The following is a 20925-nucleotide window of genomic DNA, read 5'->3' on the forward strand; positions in this document are numbered from 1 at the left end:
AACTATTTAAAGTGAGTGTATCAAAAGGGGATAAAGGTAAAGAGAGAGATGAGGCCGGGCACAGTGGCTCATGCCTGTAATCCTATCACTTTGGGAGGCTGAGGTGGGCGGATCACCTGAGGTCAGGAGTTTGAGACCAGCCTGGCCAACATGGCAAAACCCCGTCTCTACTAAAAATACAAAAATTAGCTGGGCGCAGTGGTGCATGCCTGTAATCCCAGCTACTCGGGAGGCTAAGGCAGGAGAATTGCTTGAACCCAGGAGGTGGAGGTTGCAGTGAGCCAAGATTGCGCCATTGCACTCCAGCCTGGGTGACAAAGCAAGACTCCATCTCAAAAAAAGAGAGAGAGATGAGTATGCATCTGTGGTAGACTGAATAATGGTTCCCCCCAAAAGATATCCATGTCCTAATATCTGGAACCTGTGAATGGTGCCTCATATTGCAAAAAGCACTTCGCTGATGTAATTAAATATCTTGATATTATCCTGGAATATTTGGGTGGACCTAAATGTAATGACATGTATCCTAATGAGAGGGAGACAGAAGGAAACTTGATGACAGAAAAGGAGAAGGCAGTGTGACCACAGAGGCAGATGTGATATGGCCAGAAGCCAAAGAATGCTTACTCACTAGAAGCTGGAAGAAGAAAGGAACAGATTCCCTCCTAGAGCTTCCAGAGGGAGTGTATTACCTTGGTTACAGCCCAGTGATACTGATTTCAGAACACCTCCAGACCGTAAGAGAATAAATATTGTTTTAAGCCACCAAGTTTGTGGTAATTTATTATAGCAGCCACAGGAAACGAATACAGGTTTTCATACCAGGAAGTGGGATGCTGCTATAACCAATAACTAAAAATGTAGAAGTGTCTTTGGAAATAGGTAGAGGCTGGAAGAGTTTTGAAGGTGCATGATAGAAAAAGCATAGATTACCTTGAATGGACTGTTGGTAGAAATATGGATGTTAAAGGAAATATGGGCTGGGCGCAGTGGCTCATGCCTGTAATCCCAGCAATTTAGAAGGCCAAGGCGGGAGGATCACCTGAGGTCAGGAGTTTGAGACTAGCCTGGCCAACATGGTGAAACCCATCTCTACTAAAAATACAAAAATTAGCCGGGCGTGGTGGCAGGCACATGTAATCCCAGCAACTTGGGGGGCTGAGGCAGGAGAATCACTTGAACCTGGGAGGCAGAGGTTGCAGTGAGCCAAGATCGCGCCATTCATTGCACTCCAGCCGGGGCAACAAAAGCAAAACTCCATCTCAAAAATAAATAAATAAATAAATAAAGGAAATAATGGACTGTTGGTTAGGGCTCAGAATGAAGCTAGGAGTGTAGGAGAGAACACCTGTATCATCTTAGAGAATATATATATAGTCATAAACTTAGTTTTGGTAGAAACACGAACATGAGCTGGATGCGTTGGCTCATGCCTATAATCCCACAGCACTTTGGGAGGCCAGGGCAGGTGGATCACGAGGTCAGGAGTTTGAGTCCAGCCTGGCCAACATAGTGAAACCCCGTCTCTACTAAAAATACAAAAATTAGCCCGGCATGGTGGCGCATGCCTGTAATCCCAGCTACTCGGGAGGCTGAGGCAGGAGAATCACCGGAACCCGGTAGGCGGAGGTTGCGGTGAGCCGATATCGCGCCACTGCACTCCAGCCTGGGCAACAGAGCGAGACTCTGTCTCAAAAAAAAAGTGCCTCTGCTACTGAGGAGAATGAGGCAGGAGGATCATTTGAGGCCAGCAGGTTGAGGCTACAGTAAGGTAAGTATGATCATGCCACTGCACTCCAGCCTGGGTGACAGTGAGACCCTGTCTTTAAAAAAAAAAAAAAAAAAAAAAAGGCCAGGCTTAGTGGCTCACATTTGTAATCCTAGCACTTTGGGAGGCCAAGGTAGGTAGATCACTTGGGCTCAGGAGTTCAAGCCAGCCTGGGCAGTATGGCGAAAACCCATCTCTACACGCACACACGCACGCATGCACACACACACACGCTGACACACACACGCTGGGTGTGGTGGTGTGTGCCTGTAGTTCCAGCTACTCTGGAGCCTGAGGTGGGAGACTGGCTTAAGCACGGGAGGTGAAGGTTGCAGTGAGCCAAGATGGTGCCACTGCACTCCAGCCTGAGTGACAGAGCCAGACCTTGTCTCCAAAAAACAAACAAACAAACAAAAGAACTGCCTCTGGTTGGTGAGGGCTTAGAATAAAATGAGGAACATGTATTTGGCAACTGGAGAAAAGGATATCCTTGTTCTATAGTGGCAGAAAGCCTAGCTGAGTTATGTCCTGCAGTTCTGTGGAAAGGAGAACTTACTGTAAGCAATGAACTTGGATGTTTAGCTGAGGAGGTTTTCATGGAAAGTATTGGAGGTGTGGCCTGATTTCTGGCTGCTTATAGTAAAGTGATGAAAGAGATAAATTGAGGGAAGAACTGTTAAACAAAAAGGATACAGGACTTGATGATTTGGGAAATTCTTAACCTATCCAGATTGTAGAAGACACTAGTTAGGATATTCATTGTCAGGAAGGTGGAAAGTGTGTTCTGGAGAGAAAGCCGTGAGTGTGACAGGATAACCTTTTGCTAGTGCTGAAGGGATTAGGCACGTGACTCATGGATCTCCTCAGTTGTCTCAGCAAAAAGCTAGGAATGTAGATCTGGGGAACATTTGTGGAGGACCCTCTTGTCTAATGGTATGAACCCTCATGACGTACACAGGCGACTCAAGGGTTTTGAGAATTAAAACTTTATAGTGCAGCTTGGATTGACAGGACAAAATGAAGGAAGGCTGTATGAACTCTCCAAATTTCACAGGCAGGAAACAGGCTAATAAAACTGCTCAGCTGCCAACATGTGCTACCTTTAAAGAAAGTGGAAGAATGACTCTGAGGGCAAAGCTTTGGGTCCAGAGGGTGGAGCTGCAGGCCACAGTTATTCTTAGGCCTTGAAACCTAATGGAGTTTGCCATGCTGAATTTTGAAATTGCTTGGTGGCAGTGGCTCCTTTCTTCCTTCCATTTCCTTTTCTGGAATGAGAGATTCTATAACTGTTGTCCTATGCCTGTCCTACCATTGTCTTTTGGAAGTGATACTGTGTTTTCTAATTTCACAGGTTCATAGATGGAGAGGAATTTTGCCCTAGGATGTATCATACCCACAGTCTTACCTATGATGAGAGGTGTGACTTTTGAACTGACTATATCTAGATGAGATTTTGGGCTTGAGTTGATATGGTAATGGTTGAGACTTTTAGGAATGTTTGGATAGAATGAATGTATTTTGCATGTGGGATGGACATGAATCTTTGAGGGCCTTAAGAAAATTATATTTTAGGCTTGTTCTGTTTCCGAGCATTCCTCATTTAAGGGCATTGAAACTTCACCATTGATTTTTTTAAAGATTAAATCCCATTTTGTCACTAAATCATATTTATAAAATTGAAAGTTAATTCTTATAGCAAAATCTCTTTTCTTTGCACTTATTAATCCAGCAAGTTTTAGTAAATTATATCTGATATACTGTTGGTAATACTGTGCTAGACACAAGTATGGAAAATGAAATATATTACTTCATACTGTATGTCATAACTTTCCTCTGCAGAAGTAGCAGTTCCTAAAGAATTAACAATTAAACCAACTTTTTCAGGGCTTTAAACTGATTTTAACTGTTGACTTTACCTCTTTTGCCACCCCTATGCCCCATCTATATTTTTGGTTAAAACCTCCTCTCATTACTGGAACTGACTTACTTGGCCCTTTTTTATTATTTAAATTTTGAGGGATTTGTTATATTTAAAGGTTTTGCCCAAAGTCATACAACTAGTAAATAATCAGTATTGTACTAGGAGATGATTATTTAGTGTTATTATGCATAATATATAATAATATCCTGATTAAAAGATGTTAGGAATATTTATGACCTGTTCTAAGAGGATCCAGGCTCTTGGGCTTACTGCTTTTTCTCTCTCTCTCCCGTTATTTTTTTTTTTAATTTTAAGTTCTGGGATACATGTGCAGAACTTGCACGTTTGTTACATAGGTATCTTTCCCCTTTTGACCATGTGTTTTTCCCCCTCATTAAAAAAAATATTTTTTTAATTTTTAATTTTTTGTAGAGACGGGGTCTTGCTATAGTGCCCAGACTGGCCTCAAACTCCTGGCCTCAAGCAATCTTCCCACCTTGGCCTTCCAAAATGCTGGGATTACAGGCACAAGCCACCGTACCCAGCCTTCTCCTGTGTTTTATGCCATGTGCTCCCAGTTTACTGCTATCATTGTAAGGAGCTTCACACTAGCAAACCCCTTATGGTTAAAAATACCATATTGGTAAGCTTGATGGAATCTGATTACTTCATACTGTATGTCATAACTTTCTTTTGCAGAAGTAGCAGTTCCTAAAACATTAACAATGCCACCAACTTTTTCAGGACTTTAAACTGACATTAACTTCTGACTTTACCTCTTTTGCCAACCCTATGCCCCATCTATAAAACTAATTGTGCGTAGCATGAAAAAGATCTGAAATAGTTTCATATAATATGAATTGTGCATAGCATGAAAAAGATCTGAAGTAGTTTCATATTCATTATTCAACTTTAGTATTAGAAATATTTTGAGTTCTATTTGGTTTTTTTGTGTGTTTTTCCCCACTTCCCAGCCATGTTTGAGATGACTGAGCTTGCCAGATAAATAATATGTAACTACATTTAATATTTGTTTTATTTTATATAGTTTGTTTCCCAGGATAACTTTTGAAATTGTGCAGATACAAAAGTGATTCTGAGTAATACTGTAGTGGTTTGATGTTTGAAAAGATGTAATCTTAGATAAACTAGCATTTAACACATTTATTAAAATAGAGTTTTTTCATAATCAAATATGTAGATTGCTAAATTCTCCAGACCCAAGCCCAGCTAGATATTCTTATTAAAAATGCAGGTGATGTTTTTCCTTGTGTGTAAACCCACTGTTGGAGGGTTTTTGTTTTTTACAGTTGCAGCTGATAGCACTGAATTGATTTCTTCCAAAGGAACTATTGATTTAGTTATAGATAAATCTTTTAAATATTTCATGCAGTGAAAATAGCTGTGTATTTGCATTGACATCTAATTGTTCCATTCTTGAAAATTAGGTTTTTCCATTTAGAAATACTGTGTTAGGAATAAGGAATCAATCTTTTATAATGTCTCTTTGTAGAGTTACTTATTTGCTTTGTGGTCAAAGATCATTTATATTGCGTATTCAAACAAAGACTTTTTTCCCCTTATTAAAAACGATTGGGTAGGGGATATGTGGGTCATGGGCTTGCTTCTTCTATCTCAGTTTGCAGTGAGTGTTCATTCCATAGTGCCTTCTGTGTTGTTGATGCCAGCGATACAGTGGCAGACAAAGTCATGGAGCTTACATTCTAGCCAAGAGGAACAGTCAGTAAACAAAATAGTAAATACACAAATTAAATTCAGGCAGTATTATGAAGATACATTTTGCTCATTTCTGAATGATAAAGGAGGAACCAGCCATGTTATAATCTGAGGGTAAAGCTTACTAAGATACAAAGGCTCTAAAAATACAGCATTTTTGGCATTTTTGTAGTCCAGAAAGATTACCAGGGTTAAATCATTGTGGTGATGGAGAGAGGGGTAGGAGATGGTTGAAGGGGATGCAAAGCTAGATCATCATATAGGATCTTGTGTTCTGTGATAGGTGTTTGCAAGAAATAAGAGTAGTTGGCATTCTTTAGAGGCATTCTTAAGTAGGTGGAGGTCATAAACAATGTGATTTATATTTTTAAAATATGATTCTGGCTGCTGTGCAGAGAACACACTGTATAGGGCAAAAGTGAAAGAAGAGACCGGAACATTGCAGTGTTAGAGGTGACACTGGACTTAGTTGTCAGAGTAAGGAACATTTTGGAGGTCTGCTGTTGAATTAGATGTGACAGATGAAGAAAAAAAACGAGAACCCCATTGCCCAAGTTCAATTATGGTACTGTTAACTGGGAAAACTATAGAAGAAATAGGTTTAAGTGGAAACAATAAAAAAATTTTATTTTGGATGTTAGGTTTGAGTCTAATATATTAGGGCTTTGCAGATCATACTGCATAGATGGTCAGCAGCCATAACATCTGCTTAGAAGTTATTTCTTATTAGGATTATGTCATTACATTAATTTTTAATCATCCATTCTTTTACTTTTCCAAGCTGAATGCTCTAGTTGCACCTAAAATTCTTCAGTCACAATTAAGATGCCTATAAAATCTCTACTAGCCACCATCTTTAAAGGAAACATAATTCTGAATTTTACAATACAATAAACTTGATTATTCAGACACTGATGATTTTTTCATCTGGTTGTCCTTGACCTTTGCTTTTATTAACACCTCCTGCTCTGTGCTTGTAATGCCAGCTACTCTGTAGGCTGACTCAGGAGGATCATTTGAGGCCAGGAATTTGAGACCAGCCTTGGTAACATAATAAGACCCTGCCTATTAAAAAAAAAAAATGCTGAACGTGGTGGCTCAAACCTGTAATCCCAGCGCTTTGGGAGGCCGAGGTGGACAGGTCACTTGAGGTCAGGAGTTTGAGACTAGCCTGGCCAACATGGTGAAACCTCATCTCTACCAAAAGTGCAAAAATTAGCCAGGTGTTGTGGTGCGTGCTTGTGGTCCTAGCTACTCAGGAGGGTGAGGCAGGAGAATCACTTGAACTCGGGAAGTGGAGGTTGCAGGAAGCCGAGTTCGCGCCACTGTACTCCAGCTTGGGTGACAGAGCAAGACTCTGTCTCAAAAAACGAAAACAAAAGCTAGGCATGATGGCATGCTCCTGTAGTCCCAGCTACTTGGAAGGCTGAGACAGAAGGATCTCTTGAGCCCAGGAGGTCAAGGCTGCAGTAAGCTATGGTTACACTACTACATTCCAGCCTAGGTGACAGAGCAAGACTCTTGTCTTAAAAACAAAAACCTCCTGCCTTTTCTTGGGGGTAATTTCATTGCCTTTTAGTGAAGTAGTGGGTAACTAAGATTGTTGTCTTGCTAATTGCTAGCATTTCTGGGAAAAGTTTGGTACAGGAAGTTGAAATAGATGGATAAAGTTTGTATTAACTGTGAATTTCAGTTATTTTATCCTAGTGTCCCACTAATTGGATTGAATTTGAGAGGATATGAGAGCAGATTTTAAAAATTTTATGGAGTGTTTAGCCTCTTTCTAGGAAAATCCTACATACTTCCAGAAATTTCGAAAAAATCTTTGGTAGACTAGTAAAATTTCAAATTGTGATGGTGTTCTTGATAAGTAATACTTTTTATGAAATATCATAAAGAGCTTTAAAAGTATATATTGACAAGTTTATCTTGTTTAGTTCAAGTAGCAAAATACTAATGCAGTGTAAATAAACATAATATGACCTTTGTTTTTCCATTAGTGAAAAAGTTCACACTTTTAATTTCTCAACAATACATTCTGTAGTTAAAGCTTAAATATTATCAGAGAACATGAGATTGAGAACATTAAGTAGATACAGAATTTCTTTTGCTTGTTTTTTTTTTTTTTAGCATATTTTAGGTAGTCTTAGAATTATAGTTAAGTCTATGTACCACTTTAGCCAAGTAAAGAACAACATGTTACCACCTACTTAACGTGCCTTTAATTTCAATCTCAAAAATAACTAGACAAATTTAGACAAATGGTGCTGCTTAAGATAAGATGTTAGAGAGGTTATTGGGTTTTCAAATGTGTATAAATACAAATATAAACATTAAAAAAATAGATTACTAATTATCAGGCATATCGCTTTATTCAATAATGAGGAAATGCAAAAATTGCTCCATATGAACATGTTCATGTGTAATAAAGTACAGAACACTGGAACTTGAAATGACCATAGTTAAATAGTATACAATCTAAAAATATTTCATAATGACCCACCTACCAGAATATCTAACTAGAATACTTTTGCACTTTCCTTTTTAAAAATAAATTACCAAGCGTTAGGAAACCATTTGTAAGAGATGTCTTTGTTAATTAAATATATCAGGTTGTATTCTGGTTTCTTTTTTTGAGACGGAGTCTCACCCTGTCACCCAGGCTGGAGTGCAGTGGCGCAGTCTTGGCTCACTGCAACCTCCGCCTCCCAAGTTCAAGTGATTCTCCTGCCTCAGCCTCCCAAGTAGCTGGGATTACAGGTGCACACCACCACGCCCAGCTACTTTTGTATTTTTATTAGAGACAGGGTTTCACCATGTTGGCCAGGCTGGTCTCAAACTCCTGACTTCAGGTGATGTGCGTATTTTGGCCTCCCAAAGTGCTGGGATTATAGGTGTGAGCCACCATGCCCAGCCTGGTGTCTTTTTAAAAATTTTTTTGAAATTCTAGTTCCCTGGTGTGTCTAGTCAGCTGAATTTCTTACCCTTTCTATATTTCTGTATAATTTTAGTTGAAGTTTAGAATAATGCTCTGGAATACAGGGAATTTTTCAGTGATCTTCAGAAATAGATTCTAAACTTTTAGCCACAAACATTGGAATTAAAAAGTTTCTGTTCATTTTTAACTCTATTCAATTAACAATGATTAAATGAGGTCTTGCTCTTGTGCTGATTTTATTATCTGATCAGTAATCCAATCTGAAAGACGAATATTTTAAATTAAACTAAATTATATATTTGAGAAAAGAGTACAGATCTCTAAGACATGGTAGTCAGGATTTTTTTTTTTCTTAAAGCAGAATCCATTTAATAGAGAAATGCAGACATTTTCCCTTTAGTGAAGCGAAGTTGTAAATTCTAGGTTGAAGAACTATTTGGTTTTAAGTTGTATATTTTATGTAAGTATATCAGATACATATTTATATACATAACTATTTATAAATATATATTTATATAATTATATAAAGATTCCTTGCTTTAAAATTGCCCTTTGCCCCGTAAAAATTCTTAATGTGTAAACTTACACAAAGCAAACTATTTTATTTGAAGATATTTATTACAGGAAATAGACATCCTTTGAAGGCTGAAAGCCCTTTTTCAACTTTGTTGGGCTCAAACCTTCTGGTTGCTCTGCCCGCCACCAAAAGTGCTACTTGAAACTTAGAGTTTCTGAGAAGTCTTTGAAGTAGATTTGATACAAGATATGTAAAGTGATTTGCAATGCCTTCTTGAGAAGACAGGACATAAGGAAAGTTTTTAAAAGTTAAAATTATACATGCTATGAAAGTCTTAAAGTGATTTTTAAACTGATAGATTATAAATCCCTTTTTAAAAGTAGTTTTTCTTGGCTTTTTAAAAACCTTAACTAACATACTATACTGTTTTACTCATCACTACTTTGGATTTTAATTGCTACACAACACATCTATTACAGCTATCCCTCATTATGACAGTTTCCTTGATAGCTGTTGAAATTGTACTGATACTATAAAATATGCTTACGATGGCCTCTTCATGTTAGCAATTTCAAGGAAAAATATTTATCAAATAGTACTTTAAAAATAAGCAAAAACTGTCCTATGAAATGCAGTTTATTTGATCTAGAGTGTGAATGAGTTGCAAGGACTGATGTACATATTAGAAATAAACTGTTGGGCAAAATGCTGAAGAGCTATATTTTCAATAATAGGTCTTTTTTATACCTATAAACAAATTATATATAAATGTTGGTGGTACCAGAGCATTGAAAATAAAACTTGTTTGTGATAAACGTCATCACTGGTTCTCTATCCTGAAATGTAACTGAATCATAATAAAGTGCTATTCATCTGCAGGTGCATTGCTTCTACTTAGTTAAAAGATGGTTGAAAGGATAGGAATTAGTAGCATGTTGTATTAGCCTTTTGTAGTGTATTTTGTCCTAAGCATCTTAATTTCCCTGTTTTGAATGCTAAGTAGCAAGGGTCTTGGTTTAGAACTAATACCCATCATGCATGTAAACGGTATGAAAGAGCTGCTTAGTAAGTTAACACAAAGTGTTCTTGTGTCAGTCCTTGTGGAAATAGATACAATACAAACATTACAGCTGAACTCACGGCAAACTCCATTAAGTAAAAACCTGGCCTCATTGTTCAGGAAAAAGTTTGAATAGAATACAAGCTCATTTTGTTGAATGTAATGTCAGGCTTTTAGGGACTGTATTGAGGGATAAGGTTTTGTTAAGTTGAGACCAATTCATTAAGTTTTATTGCCTGGTGAGAAGCAGCAATACTTTATTGTAAGACTTCATCAAATATTCATGGTTAAAGAGAAGTAGTAAATGTATTCAATCAAGTGGTCTTTTGGGATTTTGAAAAGGATTATGAAGTCTGCTCAGCTGATAACATTGATAGAGGTTGTTTAACAAGGGTAATTTTAATCTCCGAGTTTAGTTTTGTTGTCCAGTCTTGTCTCTTTTTTACTGTCACAAATCCAGGTCTGTAAGAATTGTGTCACATTCTAAGGATAAAAGAATGATATATCCATTCATATAATTTATGTTATTTCCTAAATATGTATATTTTTAAGTTATCATCTTAGTTTGAGTTTGGCATATGAGGGAATTGTGACCCATCTAGTTGTGAGATTGCTATTCATTTGGTCAGACTCTAGTCTCATCTCACCACTGCTGGTGATCTTTTCATGTCTTGGATAATATGATTTCTTTGACACATATAAAATAATAAGCAACCTTTTGCCTTGGCCAGTTCAGACTGTCATGAAGGGGTATAGTCAGCTGTTTCTGCATAATGGAAATGTCCATAGCATTGCCCTTATTATTGTACTTGGTATCAGGTCACCTGCCTTCTCTTATTTACTTTTATATTATGCTCATCTCAGTTTTGTGTGATGCAGTTTGTGCACAGGAAGCTCATCCTTTTCCAATTCGCTGTGTGTTTACTTCTTTAGTTTTCAACCAAAGTTTTGTAATTTGTGTTGGTTTTGTCAGTTTTAAAGAAATAAACCATATTCAACTTAAAGTCGAATTTGTTATTAATTTTTTATATCCTTTATTCTTTAGGCAGATGATGTTGAGGGCAAAATTAGACAAATCATTCCACCTGGATTTTGCACAAACACGAATGATTTCCTTTCTTTACTGGAAAAGGAAGTTGATTTCAAGCCATTCGGAACCTTACTTCATACCTACTCAGTTCTCAGTCCAACAGGAGGAGAAAACTTTACCTTTCAGATATATAAGGTAAAGATAAATCTAAATATTTATTGAGTAAAGTTCTATTTGCCTGAAACCTGTATGTAGTTTTGTTGTCAGTGATTTATTCTAACTGCAGTAAACAAGTTTTAATCAGCATTATAAACCAAGATCTATTTTGTGTGTATGTCTGTATCTATGTTCACATCTTAATCTGAGACTTCTAAACATTTTCCCACAGGATAATTTTGTGTTCTGCGGACTTTCACTTACCTTTGTGATGAGTTTCACCTGACTTTTCCTGGCTTTTTCCCTAGGCTGACATGACATGTAGAGGCTTTCGAGAATATCATGAAAGGCTTCAGACCTTTTTGATGTGGTTTATTGAAACTGCTAGCTTTATTGACGTGGATGATGAAAGATGGCACTACTTTCTAGTGTAAGTACAGTTCTAAAGCAACAGTAGACCTTATTACCTCCACAAAGCCAGCATTTTAATTGTGGCAGCCCAATTATTGGGACAGTATAATGATATTTTTCCCAGGAAAGAAAAACTATTGTTTATGAGGCTTGAGTTTTCCTTCATTATGCTTTGGGAGACCTTGAGAATAGAGCTGAATTAAATGCTGTTGTCCGTTAGGGCCCTGAATGTAGGCTTAAACAGTAAAATGAGCTTTGCCTGTGTTTTCTTTTACTTGCCACCTATTCATCTTTATAATAGGCAAGTGCACTGAAGTGATGTAAAGAGGTCTGATTTATCCAAGTTGCTGCACACCAATTAAGTGAATTGTACATTCAGAACATAGCAGGTGTACCCATTGGGCCCTCACAGAGTAGCTTGCTGACACTGAAAATTCAGTCAGAGAATGGAAAAGAAAATGGACACTGCATGGGAGCGCGACTGTAATTGACCTGCTTGGCTTTCTGTTTTATCTGCAGATTTGAGAAGTATAATAAGGATGGAGCTACGCTCTTTGCGACCGTAGGCTACATGACAGTCTATAATTACTATGTGTACCCAGACAAAACCCGGCCACGTGTAAGGTAATTGGCAGTATAACACGTGCCTTGTCTTTTATTTCAGAAGAAGGAACTGCTGAAGTTTCCAATACTTGTTATAATAGTGTTGATTTGTTTAAAAAAAAAATCACTATTATTCATGGGCTATGTACTGATTTATTTCATTGTTCCCTTTGAAACAGTGTAGAAGATTAAACTAATTTTGAGTATCTTGATAATTTTTGGGTATCTCAAAGGTGGATTGAAAAAAAGATCACACAAACTTTAAAGTGTTTGTAATACTATAGTGATCTGCAGGTTTTAAACTGGTCATGTTATGATATTTTAATTTTAAAATAATTTCTTTACTGTAGTCAGATGCTGATTTTGACTCCATTTCAAGGTCAAGGCCATGGTGCTCAACTTCTTGAAACAGTTCATAGATACTACACTGAATTTCCTACAGTTCTTGATATTACAGGTATGTAAAATTTGATTTGTTACTGAAAGAGCCTTTCTAAAAATGTCTTCTTACTGATTGATTTTATTTTTGTCAGAAATAACTATTTTAAACAGCAACATTTTCCTAGGGTGTTTAAGCCATCTAAAGATGGCTTAAGTTTATGTTTTAGAGCATAAGCCTTTGTGGGGATTGGATTACATCCCTAACTGTGAAGTGCATAATGGAACAAATTGAAGATAATGAGCTGAATATATATGGGGAAGTCTTGGTCAGGCGTAAATACGTTGAAAGTATGGTATAACTTATTTGTTCACTTTATTTGGCAAACAGTTGCATTATTTAGAGGCAGCCTGCACTTTAATTTACATGTAGGGGCAGAATATTATAAACTTTACTGAGAAAAAAAGTCAAGGTAAATACTTCTTGAATAGAATACACATTTCCTAAAGTGTGTGTTTTGTATTCCTAAAATGCATGCCTTCACAACAGTAGTAGATAAGGTGAAATGTAGGCCTATTTGTTTTGGAAATGTCTTTCAGTATGGATTAGCCATAGAAGTAGTAGTATGAATAGAATGCTTAGGAGAAGGAAAGACGACTTACTCGACTTACTCGACTTGACTCTTCAAAAGGAGAAGGCATTATTAGATGGAGTTTCAGATAATATGTTAAAGTGTGATCCACCAAAAAACAAAGTGGCCCAAGGAATATTTATGTTATTTTCTAACTTTCAAATTTGTTGTTCATAAAATTGCTGATGAAACTGAAAGTTACCTTTTTCTTTTATTGAAAAATACTTTACCAGATAGTTACATGCAAATTGGTATTAAAATTTATTAATCTTACAAGTTTGAATTTGGATACATCTTTGTTACAAACTATACTATTTAACATGCACTAAAACATTAACATGTTAAAAAATGCTATTTGGGAATTTTGTTTAAAGACACCACCTCCCACCCACCCACCCCCACCAAAAAAAAAATGGTTGTAAGACTGGCAACCACATAAATAGGCTAGTAAGCAGATTGTTTCATCCTTCTTTATATAGACTAGTAATCCAAGGTAAATAAAATTGAAGTTGCTTCAGAACAGTGAATTGATCTGTAGAATAATAAACTGGAGGGAAAGCACGTTGTCTTTAAAAGGGAGTTTCACATTTATAGAGGTGAATTATCTTTTCATCTGACTTTCCTGCTACTGTTAAATGGGTTGGAAACTCAGGAGATAAAGTAGTAGTTACTAAACTTCGTTTATAACAAAAGTTATAAATTGTTTAAGCGACAACTTCACTAGCTTAGTGACTTATAAAATTGTAGAAACATAATACAGACTATGTCACTTCTTTTAGTTGAGCAGAAAATTGTTTAGCTTCTATTAACTTATAGAGCTTAGACTTGCTGCTACATGAAGGGACATTTTTGGTGATTTTAATGTGGAGTTCACATAAGTAGTCTTTGTCTACTCTAGTGGGTAATGTGCCAGCAGGGGTTGTTTCTCTGAAGCCTCTTAACCACTTTCTTCTGTCTACTCCAACCAATAAAGTCCTTGATACTTAGCACCAATTAGCAGATAAAGAATTTTATTTCTTAAATCTCAGTGAAGAGTCATCAATAATGGTAGCCTTTATTCATTGGTGTTATTCATTAGAAACTGAAGTCTCTAAAAAGAAAAGACTAAACATGCTAAAGGACTTCTGAATTTGACAACTGGGTATTGGCCTTTATTTTCAGCATTAACATTTCTCAGCATTTAAAAATACTAAAAATGCCTTATCAGCTGTTCTCATTAAGATATTTATTTCTCCTAGATTTCCATACCCAGTCCTTAAAAAACAAAACTGCAGATTTTTCTACTCTTCTGTCATTTAGTTGCCTGTTTCTCCATTATTGTGTGTGCTTTTTTAGCTTTGTGGTTCTTTTGCAGGCTCTGGATCTCCATTTGCAATCCAGAATATTCTTTATATTGAGATGGCCTTTTGCTTACTTGACAGATAGCCAGATCTAATAATAATTGAAACTTCCTGTAGATGGCCTAAGTTATATCTTACTTCCAATGGATGGGTGTTTGTGGTATAATTGCCACCCATTTTCATTTTTTTGCACTCAATTTTAAGGTAAAATACTGGCAGACAATTCCTTGTATACCATCTGCCTTTTGAAGATACTATTCTCTTAAGATGTACAGCATTTGAATACATCTCAGTTGTATAACTTTATAAATAGAATCAATGATCTTGTTTCCTCTGGACTTCTGAAAGGAGTTGCATTTGGCAATAGAAATCGATTCTGGGCTGGAATACATATCAGTATTATTATCTATCAGTAGTACATTAAGAGCTAATTATATTTGTCCTTTAAATGTACTTTATTGTTCTGGGATGTGCCATATAGCTTTTTAGAATATTATGTGAATTGTTTATAACTTAGGTGATTGTGCTGTTATCTCATTTCCCTTCTTTAGAATATGATTTTTTATCACTAATATGTATGTTAATATGAGAAGCTTTAAAAAAACGATTGCTAGATGATGTATTACATTTAGAAAAAACTCAGTTTTTGATCCTGCATATCATTGTAGATTTAAATTCAAGAAAATTTTATCTTTAAATATGTTGCTTATCTTTGTAGCATAGAAACAAAGGAATTGAAGGATGTCATACATTATTGGGTGTCGTTTTAAGTTCATTTCAGACTGACACTTTCAAAGGGCTTAAAGATTGAGTGGTGACTTGGTTCCTTATATTAAGCTGCAAACAAAGTATTATCAGTCATAATGGCTTATTTAAAACTGGAAATTTTTTTGCATGTTTTTTGACTTATGTGAAAATTTCAGGTAAAAATGTGGCCTGAGTAGTTTTTCTCAACTGTAACTCATTTTCCTATGATACCTATTTCCTAAACTTTTCTGAGGGTATAGAAGTTACTTAAAATTTCACTCAGCTGGTTACAGTGGCTCATGCCTGTAATCCCAGAAGTTTGGGAGGCTGAGCTGGAGGGTTGCTTGAGCTCAGGGGTTCAAGACCAGCCTGGGCAACATAGGGAGATTCCCGTCTCTATAAAAAAATTTTTTTTAATTAGCTGGATATGGTGTCACACACCTATGGTCCCAGCCAGCTACTTGGGGGACTGAGATGAGAGGATCGTTAGAGCCCAGGAGGTCAAGGCTGCAGTGAGCTGTGATTGCGCTATTGCACTCCAGCTAGGGGGACAGAGCGAGACCCTGTCTTAAAAAATACACACACACTTTGGGAGGTCGAGGCAGGTGGATCACGAGGTCAAGAGATCGAGACCATCCTGGCTAGCATGGTGAAACCCTGTCTCTACTAAAAATACAAAAAATTAGCCAGGCGTGGTGGCATGCACTTGTAGTCCCAGCTACTCGGGAGGCTGAGGCAGGAGAATCACTTGAACCTGTGAGCCGAGATCCTGCCACTGCACCCCACCCTGGTGACAGAGTGAGACTCTGTCTCAAAAAAACACACAGATTCACACACACATACACACACACAGCCATACACACATACACTAAATGTTAGTTTAAATCAGTATTAGCAATGCAGTTTCTTTTTTTTTTTTTTTTTTTTTTTTTTTTTTTTTTTTTTTTTGAGACGGAGTCTCCCTCTGTCCCCCAGGCTGGAGTGCAGTGGTGCGATCTTGGTTCACTGCAACCTCCACCTCCCGGGTTCAAGCAATTCTCCTGCCTCAGCCTCCCAAGTAGCTGGGACTACAGGTGCGTGCCACCATGCCCGGCTAATTTTTGTATTTTTAGTAGAGACGGGGTTTCACCGTATTGGCCAGGCTGGTCTCGAACTCCTAACCTTGTGACCCTCCGGCCTCGGCCTCCCCAAGTGCTGGGATTACAGGCGTGAGCCACCACCCCTGGCTGCAATGCAGTTGTTTTTCTCAACCAATTTAGAAAGAAATAGACTTGGAAAAACTGACATTGGATAAGCTTGTACCTCATCTATTAGTACTTGAAAAAATGTGGCCGGGTGCCATGGCTCACGCCTGTAATCCCAGCACTTTGGGAGGCCGAGGCGGGCAGATCACAAGGTCAGAAGATCGAGACCGTCTTGGCTAACATGGTGAAACCCTGTCTCTACTAAAAATAAAAAAATTAGCCAGGCGTGATGGTGGGCGCCCTGTAGTCCCAGCTACTTGGGACGCTGAGGCAGGAGAATGGCGTAAACCCAGAGGTGGAGCTTGAGTGAGCCAAGATCGCGCCACTGTACTCCAGCCCGGGTGACAGAGCGAGACTCCGTCTCACAAACAAACAAACAAAAAAATGTTTTACAAGAGATACTTGCTTAAGCGTTTGTCTCTAGTAGAGTTTTTAATTAAAACAACTTTATTGAGGTATAATTTCCAGACCATAAAATTCACCCATTTTAAGTGGACAGTTCAGTGGTTTTTAGTAAACCTGCCTGTTTTAGAACATTTCCATCACTGAAAAGATCCTTCGTGTCCATTTGTAGTCAGTTTCCTTCCCTACACCCGACGTCCATTGAGGTCCTTGGTCCATTTTGAATAAATTGTTGTGTATGATGTGAGGTAAGTATCTCGTTCATCTTCTTAGATGTGGATATCCAGCTGTCCTGGCACCATTTGTTGAACGGAGTGTCTTTCCTCATTGAATTGCCTTGGTACTTTTCTTGAAAATCAGTTGACCATAAATGTGAAGGTTTATTACCGGGCTCTCTAATGATCTATACTTCTACCCTTATGCCACTACCAAGCCGTCATGATTAGGTTGATATAGCTTTATATTTTTTATTTATTTATTTATTTTTAAAACGATAATGTCAAGTTTAGCCTGTCAAATATACGAGTTGAATTTGTGGAACATATTTTGCCTGTGTGCTGCAAGGTAAACAGAAGTTTCTTGAAATGCTCGATGGTGTAGGGTTAAAAATGGGTCCTAGCCCTGGCCAGGCAGGTGGGAATGGGACAAAGAAGGGTAGAGATGGAGGCTTCAGAGTGGACTGGCTGGGCTTGGGCCATGACCCTCAAGGACACAGGAGTACAGGGTCCCAAAGGGCAGCCCCTTTCTGAGTGAGCACCCAAGCAACACACATAGGGGCTGCATGTTGCAAACTCATCAGTGCTCAACCCCTGGCACAACCACCCCCTACTGTGTAATGTACCTGACAAAACCCTACTTTCTAAGGCACTCCTCCCAGGCCCCCGACCAGAATCCTGAACTCTTAAAGATAGTTTTTAAGAAAACATTTAAACGGTTACATATGAAATGCTATCTGCATCTTTCCAGGGTTTTTCTTTTGTTTTTTTTTTTTGTTTGTTTGTTTTTGTTGTTTTTTTTTTTGTTTTTTGGTGAGGTAGGGGTAGTGTTTGAGACAGGGTGTTGCTCTGTCACCCAGGCTGGAGTGCAGTGGAGTGATAGCTTATTGCGCCTTGAACTCCTGGGGTTAAGCAAAACTCCTGCCTCAGACTCCCAAGTAGCTGGAACTACAGGCACATGCCACCATACTTGGCTAATTTTTAAAGTATTTTCTGTAGAGATGGGGTCTCACTATGTTGCCCAGGCTGGTCTTGAACTCCAGGGCTCCAGCTGTCCTCCTGCCTTGGCCTCCCAAAGCAAGGGATCACAGGTGTGAGCAGCTGCACCTGGCCTGGCACACACAAAGTTATAGCAGGTGCCCTGCCCCAACCCCCACAGGCAGCAAGCTGTGGGGTCTCCTAGCTGTAAAGGGCTGCTGCAGTGGCGACAGCACAGAGTGGGCAAGGCACAGCAGAGGTTTTGGCAGCATGGCCCAGTTCCTGGTATCTGCTCCTATATAGTCCATGCTTACTTCTTCAGGGAGAGTGACTGCATTCACTTTCCTGACAAACATGAATCATCTTTTGCTTTCCTCTCTTTCTTCCTCTTGGCTTTCTCCTGCTATTTCCAGATAATCACCTGCTCTGTCTCCCCAGCTAAATGCAATTTCATGTAATGCTCTTTTGCTTTCTCTTCTCAATGTCTTCTTTTCTTGAAATCTCCTTTGGCCTGCCCAGATTCAGTTGTGTGACCTTTCTGGTTATCTATGGCATCCAATTGGGGTTCTTCATGTCAATGAGCTGTTCTGTGCCTTTGTACTTTTGTTGGCAGTCAGTCATCTTCATTCTCAGGCAATCTCTTGCCTGATGCTAGAGATTTCTTCTTTTTTGGGGTCACTTGCAGCCTCCATTCTCCACTCTCTTCTTGTGTCTTCTCTGGCCTTCTGCTTTTCAACTTGGAGCTGTGCGTTGATCTGCTTGGGGAATATTGTACTGCCTTGCTTAGCCTTTGTGGCCTCCCTTTCTCCTTCCTTTAGGCACAGAGGCTCTGGCAAAGCAGCACCTCAACCACATATGAGTCTTGAAATCAGAAGTGAAAGTCCTCCAATTTTGTTCTTTTTCAAAATTATTTTGTTTATAATGTCCCTTGTATTTCCATAAAAATTTTAGCATAAGCTCACCAATTTCTGCAAAAAAAAAAAAAAAAAGTCTCTTGGGTCTTGATAGGGATTGAGGGATTACATTGAATCTGTCATTAATTTGAAGAAAATTCCCATCTTAACAATTCAGAATCCTCTAATCCAGGAGTCTCAAAATCCCGGGCTACGGACTGGTACTGGTCCAGAGCCTATTAGGACTGGGTCACACAGCAGGAGGTAAATGATGGGTGAACAAGCATTACTGCCTGAGCTCTACCTCCTGTCGGATCAGTGGTGGCATTAGATTCTCATAGGAGCACAAACCCTATTGTGAACTGCACATGTGAAGGATGTAGGTCGAATCTAACTAACGCCTGATGACTGATCTGAGGTAGAACAGTTTCATCTGGAAACCATCCCTTGTCTGTTCCCCTCATCCCCAGGGAAATATTGCCTCCCACAAAATCCCTGGTGCTAGATATTTTTGGCACTTCTGGTACCAAAAAGGTTGGGGATCACTGCTCTAATCCATTAATATGAAATGTCTTGGGCCAGGCTTGGTGGCTTGCACCTGTAATCCCAGCACATTGGGAGGCCACAGCAGGTGGATCGCTTGAGCCCAGGAGTTCGAGAGCAGCCTAGGCAATGTGATGAAATCCCATCTCTACAAAAATACAAAATTTAGCCAGGCATGGTGGCAAGCACCCGTGGGCCCAGCTACTCAGGAGGCTGAGGTGGGAGGATCACTGGAGCCCAGGAGGTTGAGGCTGCCGTGAGCCAAGATCGTACACTGCACTGCAGCCTGGGTGAGTGAGACCCTGTCTCAAAAAAAAAAAAAAAAAAAGAAAAAAAGAAAAAGAAAAAAAAAAAAAGAAATATCTCCATTTAGTTAGATCTTTTAAAACTTTTCTCAACAATGTTGTTTTCAGTATACAAGTTTTGCACTACTTTTGTTAACTTCATTTGTAAATATTTTTGATGCTGTTGGAAATGGGATTATTTTCTTAATTTCTTAATTTTGTTTTTGGATCATTGATTGTTTTAGTATGTAGAAATACAGTTGGGTTTTATATATTGATCTTCTATCCTGCACTCTTACTGAACTTGTTTATTAGTTGCAGTAGTTTTTTGGTTAGAATTTTCCACATACAGGATCACATTGTCTGTAAATAAAGACATTTTTACCTCTTCCTTTGCAGTCAGATGCATTTTCTTTCTTTTTCTTACCCGATTGCTTAGCTGAGAACTCCAATATAATGGTGACTGGCAATGGTGAAAGCAGACATCTATGCCTTGCTCCCAGTTTTAGAGGGAAAGCATTTGGTCTTTCACCATTGTGGATGATGTTAGCTATAGCTTTCATATGTGTTAATTATGAAATTGAGGCAGTTCCCTTCTATTTCTAGATAGTTGATTATTGAGCGTTTTTATCATGAATTGATGTTGGATTTTGTCAAACGCTTTGTTCTGCATGTATTGAATTTTTCTCATTTATTTTGTTAACATGGTATATTACATTAATTGATTTTTTTTGGATGTTAAACCAACTTTGCATTTCTGATATAAATCCCATTTAGTTCTGGTATGTAATTCATTTTATATATTGCCAGATTTGGTTTGCTAATATTTGTTGAGGACATTTGTATCTACATTCATGAGGGATATTGATTTGTAGTTTTTGTCTTAGATCCTTAGTGTCAGCATAACTCTGGCCTCATAGAATGAGTTGGAAAGTGTTTCCTCTATTTTCTTTCTTTTTTTTTTTTTTTTAATGGAGATGGAGTCTCACTCTGTTGCCCAGGCAGGAGTGCAGTGGTACCACCTTGGCTCACTGCAACCTCTGCCTCCCAGGTTCAAGCGATTCTTCTGCCTCAGCCTCCCAAGTAGCTGGGACTACAGGCCTGCGCCACCACTCATGGCTAATTTTT

At 38.4% G+C, this 20925-nt stretch overlaps 1 protein-coding gene and 1 pseudogene across 3 annotated transcripts in view, besides 1 other annotated feature; one reads left to right on the top strand and one right to left on the bottom strand.

Annotated features, from left to right (window-relative positions):
- Positions 1 to 20925, top strand: part of HAT1 (histone acetyltransferase 1) — a 61226-nt gene that overhangs the window by 31891 nt on the left and 8410 nt on the right. For all 3 annotated transcript variants that reach the window (NR_027862.2, XM_006712808.4, NM_003642.4), the window contains 4 exons: positions 10987 to 11166; positions 11436 to 11557; positions 12058 to 12162; positions 12492 to 12598. Coding sequence is in view for 2 of the 3 variants with exons in the window: in XM_006712808.4 (XP_006712871.1) it covers positions 10987 to 11166; positions 11436 to 11557; positions 12058 to 12162; positions 12492 to 12598 (514 nt within the window). In the remaining variant the exon portion in view is untranslated. The remainder of the gene's footprint in view (positions 1 to 10986; positions 11167 to 11435; positions 11558 to 12057; positions 12163 to 12491; positions 12599 to 20925) is intronic.
- Positions 9492 to 10441: an enhancer, noted in NCBI's record as "VISTA enhancer hs646". NCBI's record gives its function as "enhancer in: midbrain (mesencephalon)[3/5] | forebrain[3/5]" and the evidence as "EXISTENCE:transgenic organism evidence [ECO:0001131][PMID:17130149]".
- LOC100420002 (PDGFA associated protein 1 pseudogene) lies at positions 18391 to 18899 on the bottom strand (annotated as a pseudogene).

The sequence above is a fragment of the Homo sapiens genome, chromosome 2 (assembly GCF_000001405.40).
Source record: "Homo sapiens chromosome 2, GRCh38.p14 Primary Assembly".
NCBI classification, from domain to species: domain Eukaryota; kingdom Metazoa; phylum Chordata; class Mammalia; order Primates; family Hominidae; genus Homo; species Homo sapiens.